Genomic DNA, 14,307 nt, shown 5'->3' on the forward strand with positions numbered 1-14,307 from the left:
AAAAGGAAAACTCTGGTTGCCCAGGCTGGAGTACAGTGGTGCAATCTCACCTCACTGCAGCTTTGACCCCCTGGGCTCAGGTGATTCTCCCACCTTATCTTCCAGAATAGCTAGGACTACAGGCATGAGCCACCACACTTGGCTACTTTTTTTTTTTTTTTTGTATTTTTAGTAGAGACAGGGTTTCAACATGTTGTCCATGAACTCCTGGATTCAACTAATCTACCCGCCTCAGCCTCCCAAAGTGCTGGGATTACAGGTATGAGCCACTGTGCCCGGCCAGGGCATATGATTTCTAGGGTGTCTCCCAGCTCTGATAGGTGAGGACTCATCATTTCACGTGCATCTTCATTAACTCCTAACTCAACCCTTCTAAGCTGTCCTGCCATCAAGAAAGTGATGTGTTGGCACAGTAGATAGGGGACAAAATCACTCCCTCACCCCCGTGCCAGGGCCTGAAATTCCCCTACCCAAGCTTCAGCATGTGAGGCCTTGGTTTTTAAATAGTGTCCCCTGGAACCCTGGGAGACAATGCCTCAGGGTGCCCCAAGGACTAGGCTGGATGGGGGAAAGGCATCTCTGTCCACTTCACCACTTTGACCAGAGAAACCTGCTTTGTCTATCTTTTCATTTTTATTTTAGCTTTCATTTTCTACCTCAAAGTTATACATGCTCATGGTTTAAAGAGTCAAATATTTCTAGAAGGCTGTCCTTCCTAGCCCCAGAGAAAAATCACTTTCAGTTCTTTGAACTGTTTCTTCTAGTATTTCCTTGATTTCTCTAAATAGCATGTTTCCCAAGCTCATTGTGATTTTTCCATTTTTGGCATTATCTAATGACTTTCCACCATGGAGGAGGACTGAGCTGCTTTTCACCTGGCTCCCTCCTTACCAAGCGCCTTTCCATCCTCACTGAATAGTTACAATTTTGTTTAGATTAACTGTTAGTATTTCCATTTTTATAGCTGGGTAAATGCTTCCCACAGATGAGCCATGTAGTATGCTCTGATTTCATTTCCTTCCTTGCACAGCTTTGTTTTCCCTAGAGTTGTTATTTGTTTAGCTTTTCATTTGCATAATTTTCTGTGTACTTGTCACTAATACATCCCTACACTCTCTGCTAGCTGTCCAAATCTCCTATTAAGAAGGTCATGGCTGAGTACAGTGGCTCATGCCTATAATCCTAGCACTTTGGGAGGCTGAGGTGGGAGGATCACTTGAGTCCAGGAGTTCAAGACCAGCCTGGGCAACATGTTGAAACCCTGTCTCTCAAAAAATAAATGAATAAAAATTAGCTGGGGGTGGTGGCACACACCTGTAGTTCCAACTACCCAGGAGGCTGAGGTGGGAAAATTGCTTGAGCCCAGGAGATTGAGGTTGCAGTGAGTGTAATAGCACCACTGCCCTCCAGCCTGGGTGATAGAAGCAGATGGAAGGAAGGAAGGAAGGAAGGAAGGAAGGAAGGAAGGAAGGAAGGAAGAGGGAAAGGGAAAGGGAAAGGGAAAGGGAAGAAATTCAAAAACTTCAGGTATTCTCTCAGTTTCATCTTTTTTGAGCCCTCTCTCCTGGAATCCCCTAACTTGATCCAGTCTGTACCGATTGCTCTTAAGGAATGCTGCTATCTGTCAACTTGGGAACTCCCTTCATTGTCATCCTGGGGTTCTCTTTGCCTTCTCTTACACTGAGCCCTCTGTTTTCTGGATCCTTTCTCTTTCTTGGTTTACTCCCTTTTTTGATGGAGCATATCTTCCATTAGCTTCCTGAGAAAGCACACATGAGAGGTAGATTTATTTGGGAGCTTGTTGCATTTGATGTCTTTGGTCATACGTCATAGATAGTTTGGCTGGGTATAGAAATTACGATTGAAATGATTTTTCTTCAGATTTTAAAGGTATTTCTCTATTGCTTTCTTGCTTCTTGTGCTGCTGTTGATAAGTCTAGAGATACTAATTCTTAATATCTGAAAATAGCCTACTTTTTCTTTCTTGAAGTTTTGAAGATATTCTCTTTGTCTCAAGTGTTCTGAAATCCCATAGTGAGATGCCTTCATGTAATCCTGTCTTCTCTATTGTTCTGGACATTCAGTTAATCTTTTTGATCTGGACATTTATAGTGATCAATCCTGGGTCATTTTCATAATTATTTCTTTGATCATTTTCTCTCTTGCCTTTTCATTGTTCTTTTTTTAGATTCTAAAGAATTATAAAATTCTCATTCTTTCTTATTTTCTATCTCTTTGTATTTTTATAGTCTTTAGATGGGGAGGGGGATGGTATCTTAATTTTTTTTCTTTGAATGCCTCTATCGAGTTTTTGATTTCTATTATAATAATTTGAATTTGTATTTTGTTTTCTAATTATTACATTTCATACTACTTTTTCTTACTGCATAGATGGAGTCCCTTCTCTTACTTTCTGAGGATTGTGTTGATATAATTTTTAAAAATATTTCATCTCCCTGCATAGTCTGTTTTTTCCAAGTTACTTTAAAAAAATTCTCTGTTTTGTCTTGTCTTTCTGGGTAGAGGTTTTCTTCGTATGGCTGACGATTCTTTGCTGTTTGACCTTATTTAATAACAAGGTACTAAACTCTGATCAGAAGCTCTGTGTAATTGTGTGGGACGGCCAGACTCTGGACTTTATAGAGGGGGTCTGGCTGGGTCATTTTCTTGGTCAGTATCTTTATATCTTTCATCTTATTCTGCTTGGATTCCCCAGGGTAGACCCTTCTGATCTGTTTGGAAGGTACTGGACTGGCTATCAATGTTCTGGAGTGAAAAGATCGTAAACGTATGTATGCCACATTCACTGGATCCTTCATTTCAGCAGAGTAGCCTTTGTCTTTTACATGGCTTGTCCCCTCCTATCCAGAGTCCCTCTGTTTTTCTCTTTTTAGAAAATAAACCTCGAATATTCCACTGGGGTGGGGAGAAGACCTGGGGGTCTAACTGCTTTCTAAGCAGACTTTTCCTGTTGTCAGCCCCATCTTTACCTCCATTTCCGGATATATCTCTTGTGCTGCCAATCCCTGAGTCTTCAGAGGTTTTGCAGGGTAAGAGGCTGAGTGGCTTTCTGGCTTTCCCCACTGCTGTCTGTAGGGATTCAGGTCTCTCAGATCTGCCAAGTCCGTGGCTTCTCATGCCGTTGCTTTCCAGGTTCCTACGCTTTGTTGTTGTTATCTTTTCCCCTGTTCTCTTTGACTTTGTGGGTTTATGCCTAAAACAACACAAAACACCACCAACAACAACAGTACTTTATAGAGAGGAAGCAGAGGTGAATGCATGCGTCCAAACCACACCTTTCTGTTTTCTACATCGCGGGGGAGATTTTGTTTGAGGTAAGAATTCCCAATGCATCTTATGTTTGGGAAGACTTAATTTTCAAAAGATGCTCATTCTTTCCAATTAATTTACAAATTATATTAGCAAGTCCAATGAAAGCCCCAACAAGATCTTTTATAGGAGTTGACAAATTGTTTTTAAAGTTCATATAGGAGGCCAGGTGTGGTGGCTCACACCTGTAATACCAGCACTTTGGGAGTCTGAGGAGGACAGATCACTTAAAGCCAAGAGTTCAAGACCAGCCTAGCCAACATGGTGAAACCCCGTCTCTACTAAAAATACAAAAATTATCTGGCCGTGGTGGCAAACACCTGTAATTACAGCTACTTGGGAGGCCGAGGCGAGAATAACTTGAACCCAAGCCTGCAATGAGCTGAGCTCATGCCACTGTCCTCCAGCCTGGGTGACACAGTGAGACTCTATCTCAAAAAATAAAATAAAATAAAATAAAGTTCATATAGGAGAATAAATGGCCAAGGAAAGCCAAGACAGTTCTATAAAAGAGGAGCAAGGAGGCCGGGCACAGTGGCTCATGCCTGTAATCCCAGCACTTTGGGAGGCTGAGGTGGGAAGATTGCTTGAGCTTAGGAGTTTGAGACCAGCCTGGGCAACATGGCAAAACCCCATCTCTACAAAAGATACAAAAATGAGCCAGGCATGGTGGTGTGCACCTGTAGTCCCAGCTACTTGGGAGGCTGAGGTGGGAGGATCACCTGAGCCCAAGAGGTCGAGATTGCCGCTAGCCAAAATTGTGCCACTGCACTCCAGCACAAGCAACAGAGTGAAACCCTGTCTCAAAAAATAAAATAATAATAATAATAATAATAATAATAATAATAATAAATATAGCAACTCCACATGCTGAACTGAAGAAGCAGCCTCGAGCTCTCTCTACCTTCCGCGCCCTTCCTGGCTGTCAAAGCCCAGGATAAAGCCATTCTCTGAAGTTCCCCTATCTCTCCAGAAACTGGACCCCCCCGAGAGAAACACAATTGCCTTCCACCCCTTCTCTGAAATTTTATTAACCAGAGAAGATTAAAACTGCAACCATAGAGAAAACCACTGAAAATTAAACGCCACATATAGAGCCCAAACTGAACTTCAAATTTTGTCCCAAACCATTGCTTGCTTTCCTCTTCCATTCAGTTTCCAGAGATTCATTCACAGGATAATGTCTGCCTCCTGGGTCCATTCATTTCATTCCCCCTAAAAACCGTTTACTTCTATGCCCCCTATTCCCTCTTCTCTCATGAAGAAGGGCATATAAGCATCTGGACCTCACTGGGCTATTGGGTAATGGTTCTCCTGTGATTGTCTCACGCTACGCATGTTAAATCTGTATGCCTTTTTCCCCTGGTAATGTGCCTTTTGTCGGTTCATTTTCGGTGACCCTTCAGGGGGCGAAGGGGAAGGCTTACTGAATGCCACTCACTCCATCACCAAGCTACATCCTCCCTCACTGTCCACTCCCCATGTACCACCTCTTGTCTGGTGGTGTGAGCAACTCATTCCCCACCTCTCATCCAGATAGGTGAACAATCGGTTAGCACCTTGCTGAAGCTTTCACAACTTCCACTTTCTGCAAGAAAACCCTAGTTTTTCCTCCACCCACCCCTCCCAGCCCCAGCCCTCCAGACCGTGTGTGGGGCCTCCAGAGCTCCAGACTTCACATCTGCTGACTCGAACTTTGTAGAGACTGGGCTCCTCCCTGCACTTGCTTCCCAACCATGGAGGAGCTACTGTCTCTAAACCTCATTCAGGCTCCTCACCCTCTCCAGGCTTGTGGTTTGTAGCAGCTTTTGTTCCCATGTCTGGCCCCCTCCACCAGTCTGTGAGTGTCCTAAGAACAGGAAGTGTGTCCCCAGCTCCCAGCACAGGGTTTCATACAAAGCAGACATCCACAAATGTTTGTTGAATGAATATTTGATTGATTGACCCAATGGGGGATCGAATGAATGCCCTGCTTTTCTGAAACATTGAAGAAGAGAGAGCTCAGATAGTTGGGCTTGGCATTTGTTTCATTTCTTTGATAGCTATGTACTGTGTACACTTACTAGGCGTCAGGCCCTGTGCTTGGTGCTAAGGATAGGGCAATTAACAATGTGGAGAGTATCTCTCCCCTTGTGGGACTTAGAGTCTAACGGGGGAAACAGACTGATATGGTTTGGCTATGTCTCCACCCAAATCTTACCTTGAATTGTAATAATCCCCACATGTCCATGGTGGGGCCAGGAGGAGATAATTGAATCATGGGGGCAGTTTCTCTCATACTGTTCTGGTGGTAGTGAATAAGTCTCATGAGATCCGATGGTTTTATAAAAGGCAGTTCCTCTGCACATGCACTCTTGCCTGCTACCATGTAAGACGTGCCTTTGCTCCTCCTTCGCCTTCTGCCATAATTGTGAGGCCTCCCCAGCCAGGTGGAACTGTGAGTCCCTTAAACCTCTTTCCTTATAAATTATCCAGTCTCAGGTATGTCTTTGTTAGCAGCATGAAAACGAACTAATACACAGACATTCAACAAGTAGCTTCACAAATAATTATTTAATTTTAATCATGAAGGCTTCATGGATGACATGACATTTACACAGAGTCAGGAGTGGAAAGTATGGGGAGGTGGGTGAGGTCTGGGAAAAGTGTGCTTGGTGGAGGGAACAGCATGGGCAAAGGCTCAGAGGAGGGCAAGAGTCCAGCCTGGTTTAGAAACTGAACAAAGGGGTCAGGGGCAGTGAAGAGAGGACAGAAAGGCAGGCTGGGCTGGGCCAGCATGGTCAGGTGGTCAAGGTGGTCACAGGTAAGCAGAGCATTGACAAGCTCCTGATGGGTTTAATTTGATCTTGGGGTAGGTACATGACATGATCGGTTACATTCTTAAAGTTGTCTCTGGATAACTAGTTGTAGGGGGCCTGGGAGGTGGGGTTGGGGGTGTCCACACATACACAGGGACAGCCTGCAGCCCCCTGTCACCAAGGGCAGAAGGCAGGTGACTCCCATCTCCACCACTCCCCTGAGCCCCCCCCTAGTGTCTTCTAAGGATTTACTTTTGTTGTCTTTTTTTTTCCTTGTTGTGGAGAATGGGGTCTCGCTATATGGCTCAGGCAGATCTTGAATTCCTGAGCTCAAGCTACCCTCCTGCTTCTGCCTCCCTAAATGCTGGGATTACAGGTGTGAGCCACCATGCCCCATGTAAGGGCTTACTTTTAAGGTAGCCCTGGGCTCCTGTCCCCACCACCCCTGAGGTAAACCTATATCTTCTGAACCCCCTGCCCCCATATACCCATCATAAGCTTCCCCAGGTACCCCACATCATTGGAGAAAGGGGTGGCCTTTCCCAACTTGAATGGTGACCCCAAAAATGATGCATTCACATGCTAAGCTCTGGGACCTGTGAATATTACTTCATATGGCAAAACAGTGAATATTACCTTATATGGTGGCATATGTGATTAAGTTAGGGATTTTGAGGTGAGATGATGTGGAATTATCTGGATGGGCTGTAAACACCATCACAAGCATCTTTATATAAAGAGGCAAAGGAGAGTAACAGACAAGAGGAGGAGGTGATGGGGCTGTGGAGGCAGATATCAGACAGGTGCAGCCTCGAGTCAAAGGATTCTCCTCTCAAGCCTCCAGAGGGAGCGAGGCCCTGCCTACACCCTGATTTCAGACTTGAGGCCTCCAGAGCTGGGAAATAATAAACTGCTGCTGTCCCAAGCCACCCAGCTTGTGGTGTGGTGCCGTGGCAGCCCCAGAGAGGGAAGGTGCAGGCAGAGACCCCGCTTGCTGACTGGGGTTTTTGTTAAATGGGTCTGATGTCCTGGACCTCACTGGCTGGGCCAGTGTCCGGAGTGCCCAGCCCAGGGCTTGCTGCACCTCCGTTGCTCAATGTGCATTTGTTGAATCAAATTGAGGAGAGTTTGCAAGTGGACAAGGCTGGGCTTGTCAACCAAGCAACCTGTATTCAAGTCCTGGCTCTGCCAGTTACTTAAGCAATGTGACCCACAGCACGTGACACAACCCCCACATCTGTAAAATGAGTGTGATGCCAGCACCCATCTCCTAGACAAGGCGGGGAATGGGAAGGGCCCAGGCCCTGAGGAGGGGATGTCTGCTGCGAGAGTTAGATCACCTTTGGTATCAGACGGCACGGGGTTTGAATGTAGGTCTGCTGCATGCTGGCTGTGTATCTGAGGCCAATGTCTTACCCTCTCTGAAGCTGTATGGCCCTCTGAGGGTCTGGAAGGCATCAGGGAATTGGACTGGGGGCAGCTCTCAGCAGGTGGTTTCAACAGTGTCCTCTGGACCTCAGGGATCAGCCCACAGGCTTGGACGTGCCCATCGGCTCACCCCAGGCGTCTCCTCCCTTGACCTCAGCCCCTCACAGGGCCTAGAAGCCAGGGACCCCCAGAAAGTGGTCCTGTCACTCAGGGGGAGCTGCCCTCCAGGCTTCTTGTGGGGGGTGCTGAGGAGAAGTTGCTCCCACTCCTCCCTGTTCCTAACTCCCCTCACCCCACCCCGCCCTGCCCCCTGCTCACAGAGGTTTGATTTCCCCCTTTCGAGGAAACAGATCAAAGAACCTGAAGTTGCCTCCCACAAAAAGGAAAAAAACTTGCCAGCTCTCTCCCCACCCCAGGCCTCAGAGAGGCAACTGTGTGCCTACATTTCCCCTTACGTCTCACCCCCACCCTCGTCCTCACACTCACCCTCACGTGACGACCGGGGCGTCACTATCAGTCCCCATTTACCAGGTGGGAAAACTGAGGCTTAGGCCAAGCACGGCACTGACCCCGGGGGCTAGGGCTGCTCCACAGGCCTGAGCCCAGCGGCTGGGCTCTGACCTTTGTGGCCTCCCCCAGGCCTGCCCCACTGCACCCTTCACCGGCTTTTTTCCCCTCCCGATGGTGCTGTCTGCCTCTCCTCCCTGGTAACAAAAGTGACGCGTGGTTCATACTGAACAGTTGAAAAGACTAAAAAAAAATCTTAAAAATCACTCCTGTCCTGTTATCCAGAATGAAACACTGTCAACGTTTTGGGGTGTTTCTTCCTCTTGAGCTCAAGCTGTCTTTTCATCTTTCCTTCTTTCTTTCTCCAAATATCCCCCCCCCATATTTCCAAATGTTCCCCCATACCTAAATTTTCCTGACTTCTCCCCCACAGAGACAGACTCTCTTTTAACACAACTGGCATTCTTACCCAGAGCACACAAGCTTCAGGGACCCCCGAAATCCCGACACAAAAGTATATAAAACGTGTGGTCTCCAGCGAGAGGGTCTCTGGCTTTCATAAAGTTCCCAAAGGGTTCTGGAACCCGAATAAAGGTTAAGAACCCCTCCTCTGCCTGGGTTTTTTTTTTTTTTTTGGGATGGGCCCCTGCTGGCCCAGGCCACAGACAGGGGCTGTAACTGTGGAAGGGGCTCGCCAACCGGGCCCACTCACTCTAGGGAGGTGATCGCCACACAAACATGGTCATGGATGTGCCGGGGGTTCTCTGCAGTATGACCCCGAGGACAGGAGTGTGTTTTGGGGGGTGGTCCGTGGCTCCCCTACACGTGGCATTTGTGAAAATATAGCTTCCCAGAATGGCAGACTGGCTTCTGCCCACTCAAATGCAACCTGCACCCCTCCAGCCACTCCACTTTCCTGCACTTGGAAAAGTCAGAAACGTGCCCTCTGGTTTCTGAGCTTTGCAGAGCCAAAGAGGTGCACTGGCCCCTTTCGGAGTGGCTCCCCGGGGCAGTGTGCCAAAACAGAGGGACAGATGACTTTCTTCTGCTCGCAGGTATTTATTTTGCACCTGCTATGTTCTAGGCACAAATCAGGTCTAAGATTCACAGTGAACCAGATAAAGTCTCTGTCCCTCTGGAGCTGGGTCCTAGGCAGAGATGATAAAGAATGGAGGAGTAAGTGTGTGCCATGGCAGGTGGCATCCACATCTGGGGAAAATAAAGCAGGGAAAGGGATGGAGTGAGGGAGGGCCTATTTTAGGTGGGTGGTCAGGGACACTTCTCTCAGCAGGGGACATGTGAGCAGAGACCCAGAGGAAAGAAGGGGTGAGCCCCATACATGGGGTAGGCAGATGCCTTCCAGGCCGAGGGAACGGCAAACACAGCACGTGTGGAGGGACAGGAAGAAGCCCCCGTGTCGCTGTTTTCTCAGCTCCAGAACGCTGGGGGCTCATCTCGCCAGCCCTCAGCTGAGGCCATGGTGGTGGTTTGGGAGCACAGCTCAAGATGACTTTGAACCTAGGGTTGGCTGATCTAGTGCATAAAAATGTGGGACGTCAAATATTACCTGGGCCATACCAAATAGTTGTTGCCTTTCTGAAATTCTAATTTAACTGGACATTCTGTATTTTGTCTGGTGATGCTGTCTGGTCCTGGACCATGGACAGAGGTTGATTTAGAAGGGAAAGCTGCTGTTCCCTGACACAGCATTTGTACTTAGCCGTGGGCAGGCAGTAGGGAGCCACGGGAGGGTATTGAGCAGGGGAGAGGCAGGCTCCAATTTGCATTTCCGAAAAGTCACCTGGGTGACTGCAGGGTGGCACTGGACGGGGAGTGGTGGGGAGAGAGGATTGGTGGCAGGAGATGTCCAGGCTTCTGTGATGTCCAGGACTGGGGCTGAGGCCTGACACGGGACAGTGGCTTTGTGGAAAGGGGAGAGATGGATTTAAGAAGTGTTTAGAAAGCTGAGTCAAATGAGTCAAGGCTGGCCCAGATTTGTGGCCTGGAGACTGGACGGTGGTGAGGAGCACAGCAGGGCCTGTTGAGGTGTGGTGGGATGAGGGTGGAGCCTTTAGGAACATGGGGGTGGACCCTGTTAGGTCAGAGTGTGAGGGGTTCACACTGGCCCTGCCATGTCTGAGGAGGTCTCTCCTACAGCTCTGGAGCCCACGAGAGAAGACAGGAGTTTGGGCATCCATCAGTTGTCCAGACGTGGCCATGGAAATGTTGTGCCTAAGGAGATAGGTCAGAGGGCAGGAAGCTGGGATGTGTCAGGCTTTGAGGGTGGGGCGGGGTGAGCATAGAAGGTGACTGGGTGGGTTCAGGGATGAGGGGAGTCCAAGGAGGCCTGTAAGGAAGGGGTCATAAATAGGGTGCGGTGACCAGGATCCGCTGGCGAGTTATCAGGGGCAATTTCAGGTGGTGAGTGGGTCTCGCAGGAGAGGCCGGCAGAAGGCAGACAACATGCGCTTATTCACTCATCCATTCACAGATTCGTTCTTTCTTTCAGCCTGGGGGCAAAGAGGAACATGACCCCCCAGGAGCCCAGGGCTGGAAGGGCTAAGGGGGTGTGGTCAGGGGCCTGGAGAGTAGGGATAGGAAGGGGATGGCCCTGAGGAACAGAGGGCTCAGTGGGAGATGAGAGGGAGAACTGTCTGGGGCAACGTCTGGAAGCCCTTGACAGTGGGGAGTTGATGGAGAGCAACCTCTCCTGGAGGGCTGCATGGAGGTGGTGTCTTTCGAGACAGCCAGGTTCAGGCAAGTGGGATGTGAAAAGAAACTCCCAGAAGACCTTGAATCTTCAGCACACTGGTGACCATGGCCTGGGGACCCAAGGTGCTCTGTGGCAAGGTTTGGTGTGATGAGGAGAGAGGATGTCAAGGTACAGGAAGCTCCAGTGATGAGCAGGGGAACTCTGGGCCAAAAGGGACAGGGTTTGGCTTCAGAAGTCCCAGGGCCCCCAGTCTGTCCCTTTCCCTGCTTGTTGCCTCCTGTTCCCACCCCCCAGAATCCCTATGCTTTTCTATCCATTTCCAGAAAACAATGGAAATGCCTTCCCTGTGAGTCCTCCTGGATGGCAGAGCCCCCTGCCCAGGCCCACACTTGCATCCTAGTGAGGACCAAAGCAGGCCCTGGGCCAGGGGAGGCAGCTGTCCTGGTGGATTCCAGGCAGTGGGAAGCAGAGGACAGGGAGAGATCCTCCCAGCGGTGCAGAGCCTGCTCCTGCAATTGCATTAGGAGCCCGATCCCCCCATGTTATTCTGGGGTCCCACCACACCATGTGACCCAATAATGACAGCAGAGTACTTGCTCCCAACCCTCACCAGAGCTACAGTAGCATTTCCAAGGCAAAGCAGCCAGAGAAAGAGAGAAATCAAGACACTTCCCTCATGGCTCTGCAGACTCTGCACATTAAGGCACATCAGATAAGCTTCTTTTCTTGTATGTGGTCAAAGTGTCAGACGAGCTGGCTGCTGTCTGCCTCCCTCCGTGGTTCTCACTGCTTGTCTGGGCCTCCAGGAAGCCTGGGGAGGATGTAGGCAGAGACCACTCACCATGGAGCCTGGGCTGGGGTGGAATCCTCAGCCCCATTAAAATCCCAGGAAATGCAAAATACCTGGTCCTCTCCTGGTCTACAATCTCCCATGGCTCCCTAGGACCACAGCGTCACCACTATACTCCTCAGCCTGGTGTTGGGGTCCTTCTAGGTAACCCTCTTCCTGCTTCTCCCCATGCACCTTATACTGGCCAGGATGGAATATGCTCTGTGCCTTTCAGCCTCCAGGTCATTGCCCACAGGGCTCTCTCCTCTCAGAATTCCCTCCCTTCTTCTGCCATTGTCTAAATCCTGCTCATCCTTCATGACCCAGCTTGCATATGCCTCCTCCAGGAAGTCCCCAGCTGCCAGGCTCATCATCTATTCTTTGTAGTCAAGATGTCAGCATCTAGGAATCTGTTTGCCCTTTAGTGCCCAGCACTGTGTGGTATGCGGCATGGGCACCCATAAATGCTTTTGTTGAATTTTTTACCCTGTTCAGCTTAAACTCACATATATTAGGAACCTACTCCAGGCAGGCCTCCCTAAAAACTTCACATACTGGGTTGGGCCTCCTTAAATTTCCATAATGATGTGGTGATGTCAGTATCACTGCCTCCATTCATATGTCAGGAAACAGGCTCAGAGATGCCAGGGGACACCCCCTAGTCACATTGCCAAGAAGTGTCCGAGTTGGGCCTATGCCGAGGCCTTTCTGGGTTCAGATTCTGGCTGTTTCTACTACCTGCTTTGTCTGTCCAGCTGGAACACCTTGTAGCACTTCTATGTAACTGGGTCTTAGAAGAAAGAGAAGGGTGACCTGCTGTTTCCATGCTTACTTTGATTTCAACCACTCTTTATTATTTCTTTTCTTATAACAAAAGAAATGTATGCTCTGGTCTGACCCTTGATTCCAGTGCTCTTTCCAAGATACCCCAACGCCTCTGTTTCAGGTGGACTCCCTGAGTCAGAGAAGGTGGGAAGGTGACCTGGTCCACGCCCCCTGCCTCCAGGCAACCGACTGTATCAGGACCGATTTGGTTATTGCAAGTTACAAAACCCAGCTCTGATGGTAATTTTATGTGTCAACTTGCCTAGGCCAGAGTGCCCCAATATATCATCAAGCACTAGTCTAAACACTGCTAGGAAGGTACTCTTTAGATAAGATTAACATTTAAATCAGTCAATTTTGAGTAAAGCAGGTGACCCTCCATAATGTGGGTGGGCCTCATCCTATCAGGTGACCATCTTCAGAGAAAAAGGACTGACTTCCCCAAGGAAGAGGGATTTCTGCCTGCAATCTGTCTTCAGACTCAAGCTGCAACATCAGCTTTTCCCTGGGTCTCCAGCCTGTCAGCCTACCCTGCAGATTTTGGACTTGTCAGCCTCCACAATTGCATGAGCCAATTCCTTAAAATAAATCCCTCCCCGACCCTGGCTCCCCTCCACCCCTTTTGTTCTGCTTTCCTCTGTGCTGGCTTCATTCTTGAGAAGGCTCTTCTTACAAACTGCAAAGAAGGCAGCCAGCAGCTCTAACTTACTGCTGAAGCTTAGCAAACCAGATAAAGGGAGGGCCTGTTTTTCAATAATTCCAGCAAAAGTTCCGGGGCTGACACTCATTGGCTTGGCTCAGTTCACATGACCATTGATTCCTGAGCCAATTGCTGTGGCTCTGGCGGGCTAGGGGGCCAGGTAGCCCTCCATTCTGTGGTCTGACAATGATTCCTACATGTTTGCCTTGAAGTAGATCCCTGGACTTGGACCAGCCTGACAGGGGAACTGCAAATCTGAAGGAAAAAAATCACTCGAATATAGTGGAGCCCTGGGGTTGGTGGAATGGGGTTGGGGGGAATCAAGCTTTAAATATCCCCCCAGGGAGTTCGCTAAAACTGAAACATTCAGGGAACTCGCTTATGACTCCCCCTCCCCACCAACCCCCAGGCTCCATGGACCTCAGGGCTCCTTTAGTTCCTGCCGTGGCTTAATGCTTGAACTTTCTCTACAGCATTCTGAAGTGGCCACATATTCTGGTGATGGGGAGCTCATTACCTGTCATGGCAGTCCATGCCATTTTGGGCTAGCTTGGACTGGGAGAAAGTTCTCCTTTATGTCCAGCTGAAGTCAGCCTCTGTATCTCTACTCATCAGTCCCAGTTCTGCCCTCTACCCATCCCCGCTCCCTCGCCGCTTCCTGCCTGCCTCAGCCCCAGTACTAGGCTAATCCCTCATCCACACTATCCAGGCCTCTAAGTCAGCTCTCCCATCAGGTGCTCTCCAGACGCCGGACTGAGGACATCGCTCATGTTATCTCATGTCCTCCTGCCTGAGGCAGGCACTGTTACTGTGCCTGTTTTACAGAGGAGGAGACGGAGCATCAGCGACACGAAGCGACCTGCTTAAGATCACCCGACTAATACAAGGCTGAGCAGGAGGCCAGCTCTGACTCCAAAGCCCATGTTCTTTGCCATCAGGTACCCTGCCCTCAACTGTTCCTCAAATGCCATGATTTTGAGAACATCCTGCTACCCTGAAACCCTTCTTCTGCTAATGGTCCAGTAGATCAAAGCTTCCCAAAGTGGGATACCCACAACTGAATTATAATGATCAGGATTCCTGTAGTTCTGTATTATGGAAATTCCCTGCAAACTGGCTTAATCATTGGCTCATACAACTGAAAATTTCAGGGGCAGATGACTTCAGGCATGGCTGC

At 48.9% G+C, this 14,307-nt stretch overlaps 1 annotated feature.

Annotated features, from left to right (window-relative positions):
* Positions 10,660 to 11,161: an enhancer, noted in NCBI's record as "H3K4me1 hESC enhancer chr1:25310883-25311384 (GRCh37/hg19 assembly coordinates)". NCBI's record gives its function as "activates a minimal SCP1, AML or CMV promoter by ChIP-STARR-seq in primed H9 embryonic stem cells {active_cell/tissue: H9 hESC(primed)}" and the evidence as "EXISTENCE:reporter gene assay evidence [ECO:0000049][PMID:30033119]".

This window comes from Homo sapiens, chromosome 1, assembly GCF_000001405.40.
Source record: "Homo sapiens chromosome 1, GRCh38.p14 Primary Assembly".
In the NCBI taxonomy this organism is placed as follows: Eukaryota; Metazoa; Chordata; class Mammalia; order Primates; family Hominidae; genus Homo; species Homo sapiens.